Here is a 20215-nt window from a genome sequence, read left to right as displayed (position 1 = left end):
TTTGCAGCACAACTCCTGTGAATATTAACAATGCCGATTACTGATCCAGTAGATGATGACGGCTCATTCTCAGCAGTCACAGTCCATCACGTAGAGTCATATTTAGGGACTGTAAGCAAGTTATGGTTCTTGGGCATCCTTTAGCTTGCAGATTCTTGACACAAAAGACAGTTACAGTATATTTATAGCCTTTAAGGTCACTGATCATTGATATGATGGACCATTATGTCTCCGGAACGTGTCAGCTGTTGGAACTATTGGTCTATTAACAGAATCTCCCCTGCACTAAGCCACATACACTATGAGTCCATCTGCCACATACCTCGATGAAAGAATTGCTAGAATCTGTTCTGCATATCCCTGCTACAGTAATTTCAATTTACACAGTGATGCTTCTGTGCATCTATCAGGCTTATATCTGAAAATCCTTGAGTATCTTTGCCACCTTCCTTATTAACAATCTGAAATATTATAGTTAATTATATTGTAACACGCTACTATAGCAGCCAACAGCAATGTTTATTAAGTCTCTTCATTGACTCCTATATGAGGCAGATTATTTCTTTTATTTTAAGTTTCACTTTTTATAAGAAGAGTTTTTGTGAAATAAAAGGCAATTTTAAATAAAATTTCATTGATGTTAAATTTTGGGGGAGAGTAATTATATAATTTTGGACTTACAGAAATGTACAAAAACAATGCAGAGATTTTCTGTTTATCTTTCTTCCAGCTTCTACTTACACTGATGTTTTATATAACAATAAAATATTTTAAAAACCGTAAGCAATTAACCTTGGCCCAGCACTATTTACTAAAGCACAGACTTACTCCAAATTCAGTGGTTTTCTCATAATGTCCATATTTTTAATATGCCACTTATTATGCCCGGCATAAATTTTTTTTCCTCAAATATACTACATTCAATGCTCATCATTCTAAAAAGAATTTCTTTTAGTATATCTTATTTCCTTCAGGCAAACAAGAGGGAAGCAAATAACATGCAGTGAGTAGCTCTAATGCTTACCAAGGACCTGAGGCCTTCCAACAGCCCTGATTGAGTTTGAAAGTGGACCTCCTGAAGCCTGCCAACAGGCTCTTTTTCCTCAAGTTTATTTAGTATTTTCCCTGCTGGGGCTTAAAATCAATCAGTTCTCCAAGGAATCTTGACTTCTTTAATTGGAGAATTGTATTTAGGAACTATGTTCTTGGTGCCAGGTGTGCTCAATGCTATTGTGGTGTCACTGCTTCTACTCACAGAAGAGACACATGTATAATCACACATGCTTATACACAGACATGTACTTATTCCACCTTTTCTGTATTTTTATACATAAAATGAGTACATATTGATACCACTGACTCCAATCTAGCACCACACCATTTATTCTAGCCTGTCCACTTTTTATTTATAATGTCTCTCTCTAACAACTGTTTTTGAATGTTTAACTCATACCTTTATGAGAAATTTATCAACATACAACATATGTATGGCATCCTTTTTGTCTTTAATCTTACAGTGTTCAGTCAAGTCCTGAACTGTCTTGAATAAACTCTATCATAAAATATGAGAAGAAATCTGTAAATTCATTAACTATTGTTGTATACCAGATTATCACATATTTAGTAGCTTGAAAAAACTTTTTTAAAAATCTCACATATTTTGTAGGTCAATCACCTGGGTATAGTTGAGCTGGGTGCTTCTGATTTAATAGGTTTCACAGGCCTGCAATCAAGACATCAACTGAAGCTGCAGTCATCCTAAGTTTTTGTAAATAATCCACTTACCAGCTCACTCAGATGGCTATGGGAAAGCCTCAAAAATGCACTTCCAGATTCCACACATGACTGTTGGAAGGCTTCAGAAGATCCACTTTCAAACTCACTCAGAGCTTGAAGGAAACAAGAAATAAAAAATATATTTGTAGTAAATCTCCTCTTGGTGAACATAGTTCATATGTGTTCTCCACATATATAATATATATTTTTAAACTATCAGATCTCAAACATATTTTTGTTTATTTTGTATTTTTTTTAAGACAGTCTCACTGTGTCGCCCAGGCTGGAGTGCAGTGGTGCAATCTCCTCTCACTGCCATCTCCGCCTCCCAGGTTGAAGCAATTCTCCTGCTTTAGCGGCCCAAGTAGCTGGGATTACGGGCATGCGCCACTATGCCTGGCTACTTTTTGTATTTTTAGTGGAGACGGGGTTTCTCCATGTTGGCAAGGCTGGTCTCAAACTCCTGACCTCAAGTGATCCACCTGCCTCAGCTTCCCAAAGTGCTAGGATTACAGGCATGAACCATTGCTCCCGGCTTTAGAATTTTTTTTTAAAGACTCAATTATGTGCTATCTTTAAGAAATGTATTTACATGTAAATATACTTTTCTGATAAAAGCAAAAGCATGCAAAAGTTATACTATGAGAACACTGAATACATATAGAAAAATTAGAGTATCCATATCAATATTAGGCAATGTAAACGTCAGAGCAAGGAATATTCCAGGGATACAGCAGTACTTCTCATAATGATGAAGAGATCAATTTATCAAGAGGCTAAAACAAAACTAATGTGTATATACCTAATAACTGAGATTGAAATTATTAATGAGGCAATTAAAAGAATAGAATAATATCATTTATAATGGACTATTTTAATACCTCTCTCAATAATTTATTAAAATTACTTACTGAGAAATTTAGTAAGGATATACAACTTTTGAACACAACTGTTAAGCAAACCAATCCAATTATTTATGGATAACTCCACCCCAAAACACTAGAACACATATTCATTTTAATTGTACAAGTAATATTCAACAAGATAAAACATTTAATGCCAAAATGATTTTCAATTAATGTAAAATGACTGAAATTATTCACAGTATATTGAACTAGAAATCAATAACATATTTGTCAAAACTCACAAATATCAGAAATGTAAGTAAACATGTCTAATAAGTCCAATATGTCTAATGTCTAATAAGTCAAAAATCATAAAAGATACTAGAAAATATTTTAAATTTGATGAAACTAAAAATAGACCATATCAAAATTTATAAAATCTGTCAGAGTGACATTCATAGAACTAAATACTCTTATTAGAAAATAATTGTTTAAATGAATGATCTAAATTTCAACCTCAAGAAACTAGAAAAAGAAAAGCAATCTTAACTAAAAACGTGAAGAAGGAAGAAAATAATGCACCTTAGAACATTCCTCTTTTCTATTTTTGGATTAATAATGGATGCAGAAAAAAAAAGCACTTGACAAAATTCAACACCCAATCATGATATAATTAAGAATAAAACAAACTTCCTCAACCTGATAAAGGGCATATACCATGAATCTACAGTTGATATCACATTAAATATTGAAAGACTGCATCATTTCCCTGTAGTATCAGTAGCAAAGCAAGGATTACCTCTCTCAACACATCTATTTAGCATTGAAATATAGGCTCTGGAGGTCTGATGTCTTGTCAGATACATTTGCCCTTCTGCCAAAGACCTATGATCTAAAGATTAAAATTATCTGCTTCATATTCACATTCTACAACAAAGGTACAGACATAGCAACTGCAGGGCATTTTTCTTTGAAAATGGAAATAAATGTCACTGTTCTGTACAATATCTGACATCCAAGCAGACACATGACTGCTCTCTCGAGATCATTTGAATGACTTGGTTCCACCCTCTCAGCTCTTATTTTCTCTCATTAAATCCTCTTTTATTTTCCATAAGAAATAACCCATCTTTACAATTGAGTACTTTTCTAACTGTGCTTCCTGTCCAAAAAAAATCTGTGATCTACAGATCTTTATTAATTATCTACTATTTACTGTCTCTGTCCTTTTCAGTTCAATTCTACAAGTCTTTCAAAAACCTTGTGTGATTTTTATAAAGCAATTTATAATCCACTCTCTTCGAGAGAAAGGACACATGCACATTCTCTATTGGGAGCCATCCTCTACCTTGGGGTCGCTATGAGATGGCTGTAGGAGAAAACATGAGAGAATCTTTGAAGTTCTAAATTTCAACCCAAAGATTAACCCGAGGGCCAAAGCAAACCTTGAAAGCCCTTTTCTCTGCTGGAAATGGTCTATTAGGAACCACTTTAAATTTTTCTGAGGATCAAATCGGTGTAATAGGTAAACACTTGGTTTCATCTTTATCTGAAGAATATTTTACTGAGAACAGCAGCGATTTCCTCCTTAACCAGAGGCCCTTTCCAAGTTACAGAAACTTCTGCTTGAGAGAGTTGGGATGATATATAGTTGTATTTTCTAACCCAGCTAACCTTATTCCTTTATATTTCCTCTACATTCTGCTCTATAACTGAATAATTCTTCCTTTATCATATCTCTATTAGCATCTTACAAATCTCAACTAAAAGAAACCAACTGACGCTTTCTATATCCTGCCTGGAAATAGTCTTGGTCAAATCCATCTATTCATTAGGTACATTTTCCCACTTTTCATGTTATCACAGCTGAAAATTTTGTTAAAATTTCTGCCACTATATAACACTGCTTCTTTTCCTTCAGCTTCCAATTATTATTTTTTTCCCTCCCTTCTTTAAGCTTTCACCGACAGACATAATGAGAACCATCAAATTTCTGAAGTCTTCCTCCAGGCCCTGCTAGCTTTTCAGCTGCTCAGTCCCAAAGCCAACGCCAAATATTTTAAGTTTTATTTGTAAATGCCTTACCTTCAGTTACAAATTATGTTCCATACATCTATTGCTGAATTAAATATTCCATAATTTTTTGTGGTTTAAAACAAAACCATTGTATTTTAACTCATGGATTCTATGTGAGTCAGGCATGTACACAGACTCAGCTGGGATGCTTGTTTTTCTCTTCATGGAGTTGTCAGCTGACAGATGAGCTGGTCTGAAGTGTTCAACATGGTTTTACAGAATGCATATACCTGTTTATTTTTTCCACTTAATCAGCTATTTAAATTTCACTAAATATATTTACTTCAGAGCTAACATTATGTACCTTGCAATTTTATGACCACATATTTCATATCAAGACATATTTTTAAAACTTGCTGATAATAAGTGGACAAAGATAGAGTATCTTCTATGCCAAATGACAGGCTGCTATAAACAAAACCATAGAAAAAAAAGGTAACGGCCCAGCGCAGTGGCTCACGCCTGTAATCCCAGCACTTTGGGAGGCCAAGGTGGGCGGATCACTAGGTCAGGAGATTGAGACCATCCTAGCTAACACGGTGAAACCCCTTCTCTACTAAAAATACAAAAAATTAGCCGGGCATGGTGGCGGGCGCCTGTAGTCCCAGCTACTCAGGAGGCTGAGGCAGGAGAATGGCATGAACCAGGGAGGCGGAGCTTGCAGTGAGTCGAGATCGCACCACTGCACTCCAGCCTGGGCAACAGAGCGAGACTCCGTCTCAGACAAACAAACAAACAAACAAAACCAAAAAAAGAATAAAAGGGTAACAATAAGACAAATATTTCACTAAACAAAGGAAGCAGCTTTAATTAAAAACTATGAAGCAAAAACTAAGATCATAAATCAATGAAATATAAAACAACAGTTGAAAGGGTTAGTAAATGAAAGATGACATTTGAATGAATGAATAAAACATATTTCATGGCAAGACTGAAAAAATAAAAAGGGATTGTGAGTAAAACAATATATGGAGTGACTAAGAGAAAACACCGAGTACAAACATGCCTTTCAAATATAATTATTTATAAATCACTACACACCAATAAATTAGAAAACCTAGCTAAAAATGTATACTTTGGGGAAAATATTAACTTTCAAGATAGTGTAAGAAAAAATTGATTAACAATAATTAGTAAAATTTATATATAAATTAAATTTTCTTAAATATCCCCACACTAGTCAGAGTTAGTAATCAACTTGTGCACAATTTTGAGAAACATTAAAATTTCCATTATATATTTTATAATAAAAATAAAAAAGAAAATTTTCCATTTCATTTTTAGTGTCTATTAAAATATTGGCTTCAAATCCACACATTGAGAGTGTACGAAATAAGTTAAAAGTCCTATTCACATATGAAAGTAAAGTGATACAGTGTATATATTTGTCTATAAGTTAACAATAACTAGCAATCTATTATATAATTATAATCCATTCATATAAGTTAGATAAAGGTAAAGAAAAAAGTATCACAGAAATGCAAGGACACAAGACATACAAACAAAAAAAAAACAAAAATAAATGCAAGGACATCTGTGGTATAGAAACTCTGTCAATACAATTTATATTAATGAACTAAAAGATATTTTTCAAAGTATAATTCATTTTATGGGCTAGAATAACAAGCTGAATTACAAGAAAATTTATTTATGTAAGAAAGTCAAAAATGAAGAAAGAAAAAATAGAAATGTAACAACAAAGAAAAGATAACCTATGGTAGACATTATATTTAATTGTAGATATATTTCTCTAAAGATCGTTTTAAAAAGGGAGGTCACCAATTATCAACAATACTAAAAATCTGTAGCCAAAGAAAAGAAATAAGAGAAATAAGGACTGAACGAGAAAATGTCAGAGAAAGAGCTAACACAAATAATTAATAAAAACTTAGAATAAATAAGATAATCAACAATGCTCTAAAATACAAGATCAACCATAAAGTACTGTTTCTTTCTAGCATAGTAGCACACTAGAACTTATGTTAGAAAATAGTAATGCTTATGTTTTCAGAAAAATCTGTGAATTTTCTTGGATTTAACTGTTCAAGATCTTTAGAAAAAAAATTTATTAACAAAAGTAAATGGCCTGAGTAAATGTAAAAAACAAATGCAAAAACATGAAAAACAAATGTAAAAAAAAATTCAGCATATATTCAATGTCTACTACATGCCAAGTACTCCTTTGCATTTGGGGAAAACACACTTCATAAAACAGATATAACCAAATATGTTCATGTTCAGTTCTCTACACCTTAACTTATTCATGAAAATAAATCCAAATAAAAATACCTGGATTATGAATAACATATATATATATATATACACACATATATGTATATATATAAAACACATCCTATGATTTATATACAACACTACATTTTCATTAATAGGTAAATAAGTTTGGAGAAAAAACAGCACAGATGGTAAATTCACATCAGATAAGAATTTTGGTATAAAGACTTAAAAAGTAAAACAAAACCAAACAAAATATGCCTGTGGATAAAATACAATCAGAATAATAGAATATAAAAGACTAAAATCTGATTTATCTGTATAGGAATATAATGTATGATAAAAGTATCACAAATCAATGGAGAAATGGCATGTTTAATAAATGGCATTGGAGATAATGACATATATAAAATAATAAAGCTACATCGTAACTCTCTTTACAAACATTGCATAGAAAAGTTAACCATATGAATTATATGCCTAAAGGAAAAGCAAACTATAAATTTTAAAAATCTAATCAAATAAAGAGAACATGAAAATATGTCTTTGTGGATGTGGAGAATGTGAAAGACTTACTAAATAATACAAAACAAAACAAAGTATTAGTCAAATATTTGCTAAACTTGATTTAATGAAAATTAAGAATTGTTTTTCAGGAAGAGGGAAGGGAAAGTTAAAATTAATATATTAAAAACATTTATAGTTTGAATGTGTAACATAGACTGAAGAAAAAATACGTATATAAACACATATATATCTATATATAGATATATATCCATATATGTGTATATATACTTACATATATACATACATATGTATATATATATGTGTGTATAAATATGTGTGTGTGCATATATATACACACATCTGTGTATATATATATCTGTATATATATACATATATATCTGTATATACATATATATACAGACATACATATATATCTGTATATACATATATATACAGACATACATATATATCTGTATATATATACAGATGTGTATATATATACACATATATGTGTGTATATATATATATACACACAGATATATCTTTTTGAGAATATGTCTCACTCTGTTACTTAAGCTGGAGTGCAGTGGTATGATCTTGGCTCACTACAGCCTTGACCTTCTGGGCTCAAAGATCCTCCCACCTCAGCCTCTCCAGTACCTGGGACTACAGGCATGCACCATCAGGCCTACCTAATTTTTTGTATTTTTAGTAGAGATGGGGTTTTGCCATGCTGCCCAGGCTGGTCTTTAACTCCTTGACTCAAGAGATCTGCCTGCCTTGGCCTCCGAAAGTGCTGGGATTACAGGTGTGAGCCACTGCACCCAACTCTGAAGAAAAATAATTTTTATACACAAGAATTTCATGAAAATCATGAAGAGACAATGATAGAAAAAAACTTGCAAAGATTAGAATAGTTGATTTTCAGAATGCTATGGACTGAAGGAATGTTTGTGTCTCAAAATTGATATGTTGATAATATCAGAACATAAATGAACATATATGCTTATGCCAAATAATACAAATTAATATTGAAGGAATGATAAAGTGACATCTTCTCTTTCGTGTAAAATAAATTGTCAATGTGATGGTATTTGGAATTGGGGCCTTTAGGAGGTAATAAGAGCTAGTTAGGTCCCCTAATGGGATTAATGCCTTATTAAAAAAAAAAAAAGAGGCAGTAGATATCTCTCTCTCTCCCCATGCCCACTCATTCTTTCTCTCCTCTCTCTCTCTCTCTCTCTCTCTCTCTCTCTCTCACCAAGAAACCAACCATGGTATCACCCTAATCTCACACTTCCAGCTTCCATAACCATGAGAACTAAATTTGGTATTTAGGCCGCCCAGTTTATGGTCATTTGTTGTAGCACCTGAAAATACTAAGACACAGAAAACCAATCCAAAATTACAAAAAAAAAGAAAAAGGAAAAGAAAAAAAGGGCCAGGCACAGTGGCTCACGCCTGTAATCTGAGCACTTTGGGAGGCCGAGACGGGTGAATCGCAAGGTTAGGAGTTCGAGACCAGCCTGGCCAACATGGTGAAACCCCATCTCTACTAAAAATACAAAAATTAGCAGGGCGTGGTGGCGCACACCTGTAGTAATCCCAGCTTCTCGGGAGGCCAAGGCAGGAGAATTGCTTGAACCTGGGAGGTGGAAGTTGCAGTGAGCCAAGATCATGCCATTGCACTCCAGACTGGGTGACAGAGCGAGACTCCATCTCAGGGCATGGGGTGGGGGGAAGAAAAAAGAAAAAGAAAAGAAAAAGTGAAGAGATACTTGATCACTACAGAAATTAGTGAAATGCAAGCCAGCATAGCATTGAGATGCACCACACAGGCATCAAACTGACAAAATTAAAAAGTTGTCTCAAAACGAATCAAATAAAGAACATGTCTTCTTTCTCCAAAATTAAGGGGGGAAAGGTGGGAATGGCAAATGGAACTCATTTTCATTTGTAACAAAGTAAAAGTTGCAGGGAATTTGGTTTGAGAGTTAAATGAAATGTTTCATATAAATTCAACTAAATAGCACAATTCCAAAATGGGGTGGGCCTTTATCACATGGAGAGATTGCCCAGGTAAGCTGTATGGCATGGAGAATCAGAAGAGAATCCCTGCTGCTTATGGGCTAACCTTACCAAAGAGGAAAATGAGAGTAGCAGAATCAAGTAAATAATATCAGAACATAAATGAGCATATATGCTTATGCCATATAATACAAATTAATACTGAAGGAATGATAAGATGACATTTTCTCTTTCGTGTAAAATAAATTATACAAACAAATAGCAGAAAAATTGCCCTTCTTATGGCAAACAAATTATGTCACACACACAAAATCAAAACTGTACAGGTGAAATAAATAGGTATTATATGGGGATGATAATTGTATTAACTTTTATTCAGTATATTACATACATTCACATTCTGAAACGAATACATTTGAGCAAAGATAGGCACAAAGATACAAAGTAGCTTGGCCACTTTCATTTTAGATTCATAATGTTAATTCCAGATTTCTCTTTTCCTGCTTAGAAGTTTTATGTTTTGCATTTCTTGGAAACCTAATCCTTAGATAGCAATAAGTGTGAATTAGAAAACTATTTCTCCAAAACATCTCTCATCTTCATTACTGTATACTACTGCCCTGTCCTCCTCTCTTCAATTCTCGCTGTCAGAATTAAAATATAATTTATTTATATAATATATATTTATATACAATATATAGAAATACAAATAATATTTATAATTATATTAAAATATCATCTATATAAAAATTAATATAGGTATAAATATATAAATGATATATAAAATTATGTACATTTAATATATAATATATATTTTATAATTGCATATATAATTATAAGATACACATGGAGAAGTGATTGAGGTGAATTTGAGTAGTATTTCCATTATAAAGTTAAAAAAATTAGCCATGCAGTGACTACCCATTGTTAAGTCAAGCTTTCTTTAACTGACTCCTCTTTTTCCTCAGAATGGCTTACATAAATGAAGAAATTCCAAGTAGTCTCAAACAAGTCATACTTAAAGCATGCTAGCATTCTTAGTCATTCAACTTTCCTAAAGTTAGCTCAGGCTCAAATAGGAATTCTTTCAGAATTTGGTGTCCTGAAACAACACTAACAGTGAACACATTAAAAAGGCTGTCTTGGTCTATTCAGTCTGCCATAACAAAATGCTATAGACTTGGTAGCTTAAACAACAGGAATGTATCTCTTAGAATTCTGGAGGCTAGAGGTCCCAGATCAGAGCTTCACATGGGTGAGTTCTAGTGAAAAATCAGAGCTCCAACATGGGTGAGTTCTAGTGAAGATCAGAGCTTCAGCATGGGTGAGTCTGGTGAAGGCTCTCTTCCTGGCTTGCATATAATCTCTTCTTGACTGTATCTTCACATAGCAGAAAGAGAGAGGAGAGAGAGAGAAAGAGAGAGAAATCTTCCTCTTTTTATAAAGCCATTAACCCATCATATTAGAGTACTACCTTCATGACCTCATCCAATTGTGTCCCAAAGTCCCCATCCCCAAGTACCAACAAATCAAGGGTGACAAATACACTACAGATTTTTGGCGGACCACAATTCAATCCATAGCAAGCACCAACCCTAAACATGGATATTGTAAGCAAGGCGGTCTCTCTCTTTACCCTATTTATTCAAAGGATGTCAATTTTCCTTTTTACTTTCATTTCCACAATGAAGGTTGAAGAAGGAGATGCCCTAGTTAAATGAACACTCTAATAATTCTATAACAAAGAGAGTAATTTAAATTCACTCATGTGCAGTATTATTAATTAAATAACACTTTGGTCTCCATGTTAAAATAACATAAACCCTGAGATTAAGAATATACAATTAAGAGTAGGTAATTAAGAGATAAACATGCAAGTATACTAATAAAATAAAAGATATACAGAGGACTACGTAGTAGCAATTCTAAAAGGCCAGTTAGTTTTTGATCATCTCTTCCTCCATACCACAACTTGTTTCAATTAAACTATTCTAAAAAGACCACTGTTAACTTGCAGCATTATAAAGACATCTTTACAGTTTCTTTAATCATATCATTGGTCCACTCTTCTACTTTACTGCTAGGATTTTTGTTTTTGCTGGTTTTTGGCTTTCTTGTTTACCTCGATATTAATTCTATAGTAATTGCCTTAAGTGTTCAATTGCTGGAAAAACAAGACTCTGGTTTTTGTTTGTTTGTTTTTGTTTTTATTATTCCGAAAGAGATTTATTATAGGCAACGAAACACAACAGCACCAGCAAGGAAAGGACATACATTGAAAATGGTTTGGAGAGAGCAGGTGCAGCCTTCATTATATCACTGGGTCTCACAGGACAAACTTTGGCTCCAGGTCTTGAAGCCCCTTGTGAACAGAAAACCAGAAGTCCTCTCCTGCTGGACTTCTCTTATAGAAAGCAGGTTGCAGAAATGCCTGACCTGCTTTTACAGTAGAAGAACTCCCAGCTCTACCAAAGTCAGTCACAAATCTAGCTGTTCTTATCAAAAAATGCTGACATGCTAATGCATCCTCCCTCCAAAAGAGCTAACAGATTCATGATTATAGAACATCACCGATCTCTAGTTGATACATTCTATATATTCTTAGCCAAAATTCACCATCATGTTTCTTCACACAAATCTGAAGATAAGCATGTGATCAACCCAGCACAGCTGGAATTAGCCCATGCTCTTCACCATCTTTTAATAACTAATATGCCCAGGGGAAAATTCAGCACGTATCGAATTATGTGTCCATGCAGCAAAATTTTATCAAGTAAGTCAGTAAAGTTTTACACAGTTTATAATAAAGTAGGAATTTGTAAAAAAAAAAAAAAAAGTCAAATAACTATCTCTCCATTTTCTCAGTGTGATATGTTAGAAAACCATACTACTATCAGAAAGCCAGACAAGATTTATTTTACTAAAAGTATAATGTTACAAATATTTTATATTTTTTCTTTTATAAGCCTTATACCACAGATTTCAGCAAATGTTTATAGACTGCTACAGAGTGTCTATACAAATAAATGTTGAAGAAACTGATGAATTTTAAGATAAAAATAGGAAAAAATTAAAAAGAAACAAATAAATTGCAATAATGACAAACCCACAGATATGTATAGCTGAACTTGCCAAATAAAAGGCAACAGGAAGTTTTCAGAGGAGTCTCAGAAACAGACTGTTTCATTCAGTATAATTTGGTGTTGCTGTTTATTATTTGCAATGCTAACACATTAAAAATAATGTTACATTACTACACTTCTCAATATTACTATAGATTTAAATCTAAGGCAGGAGAAGATAATTTCCAGTTTACAAAACAGCACTGAACTTTGTTTGACCCAGTTCAGGGGACAGTCACCAGAAATTCCTAATCTCATTTATGTCTTTCTATTGTTGAAATGTAGGTGTTCCCCCAAAACCTATATGTTGGAACCATCACCAATGGGAGGGTATTAGGGGCCTTTTGAAGGTGGTTAGGACACAACAGTGGATCACTCATGAATGGCATTAGTGCCCTTATAAAAGAGAACGAGTTGAACTCCTTGCCCTTTCCACATGTGAGGACGTAGATAGAAAGCACCATTCTGAATCAGATACCAAAAATGATGGTTCCTTGATATTGGACTTCCGGGTCTTCAGAACTCTAAGAAATAAATTACCGTTGTTTATAAACTGCCCAGTTTACGATTTCTATACCAGCCCAAATGGACTGAGACATGTAAAAATAAGCATGCCTTATTAATAATCAGAACAAATCCCAAGAATTATTTCACATTAACAGCTCATGTATTTCTCTTCCTTTGACTGGTTGTTTATAGGTTTCTATTCATCTTGTTGACTATACTTCTCTTATTTCTATTCTTTTATACTTTTTTTTTCTTTTCTTTTTTTTTTTTTTTTTTTTTTTTTGGAGACAGAGTCTTTCTCTGTTGCCAGGCTGGAGTGCAGTGGTACGATCTCAGATCACTGCAACCTCCCTCTCTCCGGTTCAAGTGATTCTCATGATTCAGCCTCCCAAGTAGCTGGGACTACAGGAAAGTGCCACTATGCCTGGCCAATTTTTGTATTTTTAATAGAGATAGGGTTTCGCCATGTTGTCCAGGCTGGTCTTGAAATCCCGCCCTCAAGTGATCTGCCTGCCTCAGCCTCCCAAAGTGTTGGGATTACAGGCGTGAGCCACCACGCTGCGCCTTGTTTTTATTTTGTAATACAAGAAAAATATATGTGAACTACTGGAAAATATAGTAAGTTCTCTATTCCAAAGGCTCAAAATATAGAAATGTGAATACTTAATACTTCTCCTTAAAATGGCAAAACATGTTTTCCTTTTTCCTAAAACTGAGAGACTTATTTTCCCCCCAAGGCTAAAATCACTCTTGGTAGGAAATAAAGCTTCCTTATCACTCATTGTTCAAAGTATGAAATTTTGTGCTTTAAATAAAAAGTAATATAAAAATCATTCAGTCATGTATTGACAGCATGATTTTTAAGATGGTCTGGTTTGGGGACAATAGGAAAAGGTAGGATAAAACATTTATTTGAGATGGATGCAGAAGAGTAATTGTCAATCATATTTTATGAAACAAGAGTTCTCATTCTTCAAATGATCTTTAATGTAAGATGGAATTTAAGCATAGTGGTCAAAACCTGCTTTCAAAACTGTAAGATATACAAATGAAAATGGGAGCTGCAAAGGTCACCAGCCTCTTTTATAAGACAAACTAAACGTCTAAGGATTCACAATTCACTTTGCTTCTTTTCTATGTATTGATTTAAAAATCCAATCAATGACTCAATCAACAATATTAAAGATCTACTATGTGTCTAGCATTATTTTCAGCAGCTATAGGCACATCCATCTTAAAGCATGTATACATCAGTAGCCAAAGCATTTTTGGTTGCACAGCAATAAAATATTTGTCAATAATAACTAAATAAATAGTAGTATTGAGTGAAACTCAAATTAAACCTTTCTATATAAAGTGGAATGTCAGATTACAATAAATATAAAGTTAGCTGAAGGGCAAAATAATTTATATGTGATGTGTCATCTCATGAGAACCTTTATTTTCCCCCAAATTTTCCAAAAATGCAATCACTTCCCATCACAGATATGAAAAAAATTCCAATGTCTTTTAAAATACTCTGTGATATTTTAACACCTTATGTCATGAGCATAACTACCTATGGAAAAAATGGTATTTACAAAAGGAAGTATGAGATTTTTAAATCACATTGTAAATTATCTGTAGGCTTCAACTAACAGTAAACATAACATCTAGCCATTCACACCCCAAAACCATTTTCCCTTTAATCTTAAAATAACATTATACAACACACTAAACAAATGACCAAGAGTTTAATTAGTACTTACAATGTTTCAACTGGTAACATATATATTTTCTTCAACATTCTATGTCACCTTGGTAATTTAAAGAATGACTGTATATATAACCAAGTTGGAAAATACTACTTATTTACCCCCATATTCATTTGTGTTTTTCCCCCATAGAGTTGCAACTTTTCTCTTACTGTTGCTACAGTTCTGTGATTTCTCTATTGGGCATTGAGTTAGCAATTTTCGGTGCAGAGTGCAATCTATCAGCTACTTTACTATATCACATTACAATTTAGGTTCCATTTTGTCAGTTTTGCAACTATTCTGCTGTGGGATGTGATATCTCAAGACAATTCTGTACTTTTCCAAGCTATCTTACCACTTTGAAAGTGTTGTCAGAGGAAGTATTATTTGGAAAAGTCAGTCTGAATTATGCTGCTGCAAATCTGTGCTGCACAGCTAACACAAATTGATTTACCAGAAAGCTTGCTGCATTCCTAAGACATACAGCCACTACAGCAGCTTAGCGAAATTATCATTCACAAATAATATATTCAGATACAGCATAAGAAACTCTCAGAATAAAGCTCTAATAACACTTCAGTACATTTAAGATATATTTTTATTACTAATTTGGAAGGAAAGGAAATATTTCCTGTTTAAGTAATGAGGTGTTATTAAAATTCATAAATTATTTACAACAATTTCTCTGACAGTGAGAGAGAACTAGTGTTCTAGAAGATACATGGTTCTTCTAGGATTGAACCAAGGGCATTTTCAGTCAAAAAGCAATGGTTGGTTTGACAAGGAGAGAAATTTCTATATATACATTGTTATATTTTGTCTATTCTGTAGTTCGCCTGTACGTTCTTAACTTTGGGGATACCTGCACAAAACACACATGACATCTCTTCAAAATGCAAGAACATTGTGTTGATGAGTCATTGGACAGGAACCTCAGGTATCAAATGCAGATGATTTGGCCTCTAACTAGGAGTCACCATTCTGTGTGTGCCAGCTCCCTTCACCCCCTCGAAGGAGCTGCATATAGATTCAGTAAATCCAAGGAGTTAAGGCTGTCATGCTACTAGAAGGATTATAATTTATTTGAAGTGTGTTTAATAATCTGCAATTTTCCTTTTATTGTCACTTATTTGTTTGGGGCTCTATTTTCCTTGCTAAATAATTTTCAATGTTAAACAGAAATTTTAAAAATGCCCAAGAGTTATTAGGTTGGATTTTGGTGGTAGCCTTAATAAATAAATCAAGGGAAGATTATACTTGGTATTGTTCAGAACTTTAAAAGGGGTTGTTCAATACACAGAAAAATAACACTATTCATGGTATTTTGGTTTCCAATAAAATCACACCTCTATGAGCCAATGTGTCCTCTCTCATAAACTCCTCTCCACGATATATAATACTATACCTGCAATTCATTCCCATTTGTTGTGTACCAACAAATGTGTTCTCCTCCTTATTTAAGCTTCCATTCTCCACATTCCATGAAAAAGCAAAGGGAAATAATCACCATTTTTCCTATTCAACTTCCTGTTGAAAGACTACTGATTTTTTAAAAATAGGCTCTATTTTTAGAGAGTTTTAAAGTTAACAGAAAAAAAGACCAGAAAGTATACAGAATTCCATATACTACCTCCCTCCCCATCACCCTTTGTTTCCTCAATTATTAACATGTTGCATTAATGTGGTGTGTTTGTTAAAACTGATTAATTAATATCAATATATTATTATTAAACAAACTCCATACTATATATTAGAGTTCACTGTTTATGTCATACAGTTCAATGGGTTTTGAGAAATGCATGTCAGATAGTAAGTGATATATTATCATATGGAATAGTTTCACTGCCCTAAAAATCATCTATGATCCACTGATTTATCTCTCCTTTCTTCCCCTTTCAGGTTGCTTCCCTAGAAACCACTCATCTTTTTACTGTCTCCACAGTTTTTCCTTTTCCAGAATATAGCTGGACTCATGCTCTGTTGTCTTTAGAGACTGACATTTCATTTAGTAGTATGCATTTAAGTTTTCTCCCTGTCTTTTCCAGGCTTAATAACTCATTTATTTTAATTGTTGAATAATATTTCATTTTTTGGATGTACCACAGTTGTTTACCCATTCACTTATAGAAGTGCATGTTGGTTGTTTCCAATTTGGGGCAAATATGAACAAGGCTACTATAAATATTCATATGCATGTTTTTGTGGACATCAGTTTTCAACTTATTTGAAAAAGTAACAAAGATCATGATTGCTAGATCTTTTGATAAGCCAATCTTTACACTTGTAAGAAAATGTCAAAATGTCTTCTAAAGCAGCTGTATCATTTTGTTTTCCTACCATCAGTGAATCAGAGTTCCTGTTGCTCCAGATTCTCAAGAACATATGATGTCATCAGTGTTTTAGGTTTTGGTCATTACAACAGGTATGCTTTAATTTGCGATTTCCAATTACATGTAATTTTGAGCATCTTTCCAAATGCGTATTTGCCTTATGTGTATCTTATTTGGTGAACTCTCTCTTCATATCTTTTGCCCATTTGTCAACTGGGCTATTTATTTTATAATGGTGGAGTCATAGTGGATTTGTATAGTTTGGATATGAGTTCATCGTCAGGTTTGTATTTTGCAATATTTTTCCCCATTCTGTGGCTTCTGTTTTCATTCTTTTAACACTGTTTATTTTTTTCAGAGTAGAATTCTTTACTTTTTAATTTCTAATAAAGTCCACATTATTTTTTTCTCTCATGGGTCATTTTTATTTTATTTTATTTATTTTAATTTTATTGATACATAACATTTACATATTTGTGGGCTATATGTGATATTTTGTTACATACATAGAATGTTTAATGATAGAGTCAGGGTATTTGGGGTATCCAAATACATGTGAGTATTTACCATTTTTATGTTTTGGGAACAATTTATTTTCTCCCTTGTAGTGACTTTGAAATATACAATATATTGTTGTTAATTATAGTCAATTTATTCTGCTATTAAATATTACACTTAATAACTTTTGTCTAACTCTATGTTTGTACCCATTAATCAACCTCTCTTCATTCCTCTCTCCTACTCACATGCTTTTTGCAGCCTCTGCTATCTTTCATTCTACTCCTACCTCCATGTAATCAAGTATTTTAGCTCCCACATATGAGTGAGAATATGTGGCATTAGGCTTTCTGTGCTTCGCTTATTTCACTTAATAAAATGACCTCCAGTTCCATCCATATTGCTCTAAATGACATAATTTTATTCTTTTTATAGCTGAATAGTATTCTATTGTGTATAGATACTACATTTTATTTATCCACTCATCTGTTGATAGACACTTAGGTGAATTGCTTATATTTGACACTGAACACTGCTGCAATAAACATGTAAGCCCAGGTAGCTCTTTGATATACTGATGTTTTTTCCTTTGGATAGATACCTAATAGTGGGATTCCTGCGTTGTATGGTAGTTGTAGTTTTAGATTTTTGAAAAATCTCCACTATTTTTATAGTGGCTGTACTAATTTACATTCCAACCAAATGTGTGTAAGAACAGCTCCCTTTTCTCTGTTTCAAAGCCAGGATCTGTTATTTTTTGTGTTTTAATAGTTTCCACTCTAACTGGGATATGGTAACATGATATCTTATTGTATTTTTTTTTTTTTTTTAGATGGAGTCTCACTCTGTCACCCAGGCTGGAGGGCAATGGCATGATATCAGCTCATTGCAACCTCTGCCTCCGCGTTCAAGCAATTCTCCTGCCTCAGCGTCCTGAGTAGCTAGGATTACAGGCGCATGCCATCACACCCAGTTAATTTTTGTATTTTTAGTAGAGATGGGATTTTGCCAAGTTGGTCAGGCTGGTCTTGAACTCCTGACCTCATGATCCACCCACCTCGGCCTCCCAAAGTGCTGGGATTACAGGCGTGAGCCACTGAGTCCGGCCTATTGTAATTTAAATTCACATTTTCCTGATCATTAGTGATGTTAAGCATTTTTTTTTTTTTTCATATAACTGATGGCCACTTATTTTTCTTCTTTTGAGAAATGTCTGTTCATTTCATTTGCCCACTTTTCCATGGGAATATTTGCTGTTTTTCTGAGTTGTTTGAATTTGTTTTATATTCTGGATATGAGTCCCTCATCAGATGAAGAGTATGCAAATATTTTCTCCCATTAAACAGTTGTCTTTTCATTCTGTTAAATATTTATTTATTTATTTATTTATTTATTTTATTATTATTATTATACTTTAAGTTTTAGGGTACATGTTTTAGGGTAAGTTTTAGGGTACATGTGAACATTATGGAGGTTTGTTACATATGTATACATGTGCCATGTTGGTATGCTGCACCCATTAACTCGTCATTTAGCATTAGATATATCTCCTAATGCTATCCCTCCCCCTCCCCCCACCCCACAACAGTCCCGGGAGTGTGATGTTCCCCTTCCTGTGTCCATGTGTTCTCATTGTTCAATTCCCACCTATGAGTGAGAACATGCAGTGTTTGGTTTTTTGTCCTTGAGATAGATTGCTGAGAATGATGGTTTCCAGTTTCATCCATGTCCCTACAAAGGACATGAGCTCATCATTTTTTATGGCTGCATAGTATTTTATGGTGTATATGTGCCACATTTTCTTAATCCAGTCTATCGTTGTTGGACATTTGGGTTGGATCCAAATCTTTGCTATTGTGAATAGTGCTGCAATAAACACACACGTGCGTGTGTCTTTATAGCAGCATGATTTATAATCGTTTGGGTATATACCCAGTAATGGGATGGCTGGGTCAAATGGTATTTCTAGTTCTAGATCCCTGAGGAATCGCCACACTGACTTCCACAATGGTTGACCTAGTTTACCTTCCCACCAACAGTGTAAAAGTGTTCCTATTTCTCCACATCCTCTCCAGCACCTGTTGTTTCCTGCCTTTTTAATGATCGCCACTCTAACTGGTGTGAGATGGTATCTCATTGTGGTTTTGATTTGCATTTCTCTGATGGCCAGTGATGATGAGCATTTTTTCATGTGTTTTTTGGCTGCATAAATGTCTTCTTTTGAGAAGTGTGTGTTCATATACTTTGCCCACTTTTTGATGGGGTTGTTTTTTTCTTGTAAATTTGTTTGAGTTCATTGAAGATTCTGGATATTAGCCCTTTGTCAGATGAGTAGGTTGCGAAAATTTTCTCCCATTTTGTAGGTTGCCTGTTCACTCTGATGGTAGTTTCTTTTGCTGTGCAGAAGCTCTTTAGTTTAATTAGATCCCATTTGTCAATTTTGGCTTTTGTTGCCATTGCTTTTGGTGTTTTAGACATGAAGTCCTTGCCCATGCCTATGTCCTGAATGGTATTGCCTAGGTTTTCTTCTAGGGTTTTTATGGTTTTAGGTCTAACAT

The 20215-nt window shown here is 33.8% G+C and overlaps 1 long non-coding RNA gene across 1 annotated transcript in view; it reads right to left on the bottom strand.

Annotated features, from left to right (window-relative positions):
* Window positions 1-20215, bottom strand: part of LOC105375931 (uncharacterized) — a 190238-nt gene that overhangs the window by 27545 nt on the left and 142478 nt on the right. The window contains exon 3 of the long non-coding RNA XR_929115.3: window positions 1786-1889. This is a non-coding gene — a long non-coding RNA (uncharacterized LOC105375931). The remainder of the gene's footprint in view (window positions 1-1785; window positions 1890-20215) is intronic.

Source organism: Homo sapiens, chromosome 8 (genome assembly GCF_000001405.40).
Source record: "Homo sapiens chromosome 8, GRCh38.p14 Primary Assembly".
NCBI lineage: Eukaryota > Metazoa > Chordata > Mammalia > Primates > Hominidae > Homo > Homo sapiens.
Note: the sequence above shows the minus strand (reverse complement) of the source record. Positions and strands in the feature narration are given on the sequence as shown.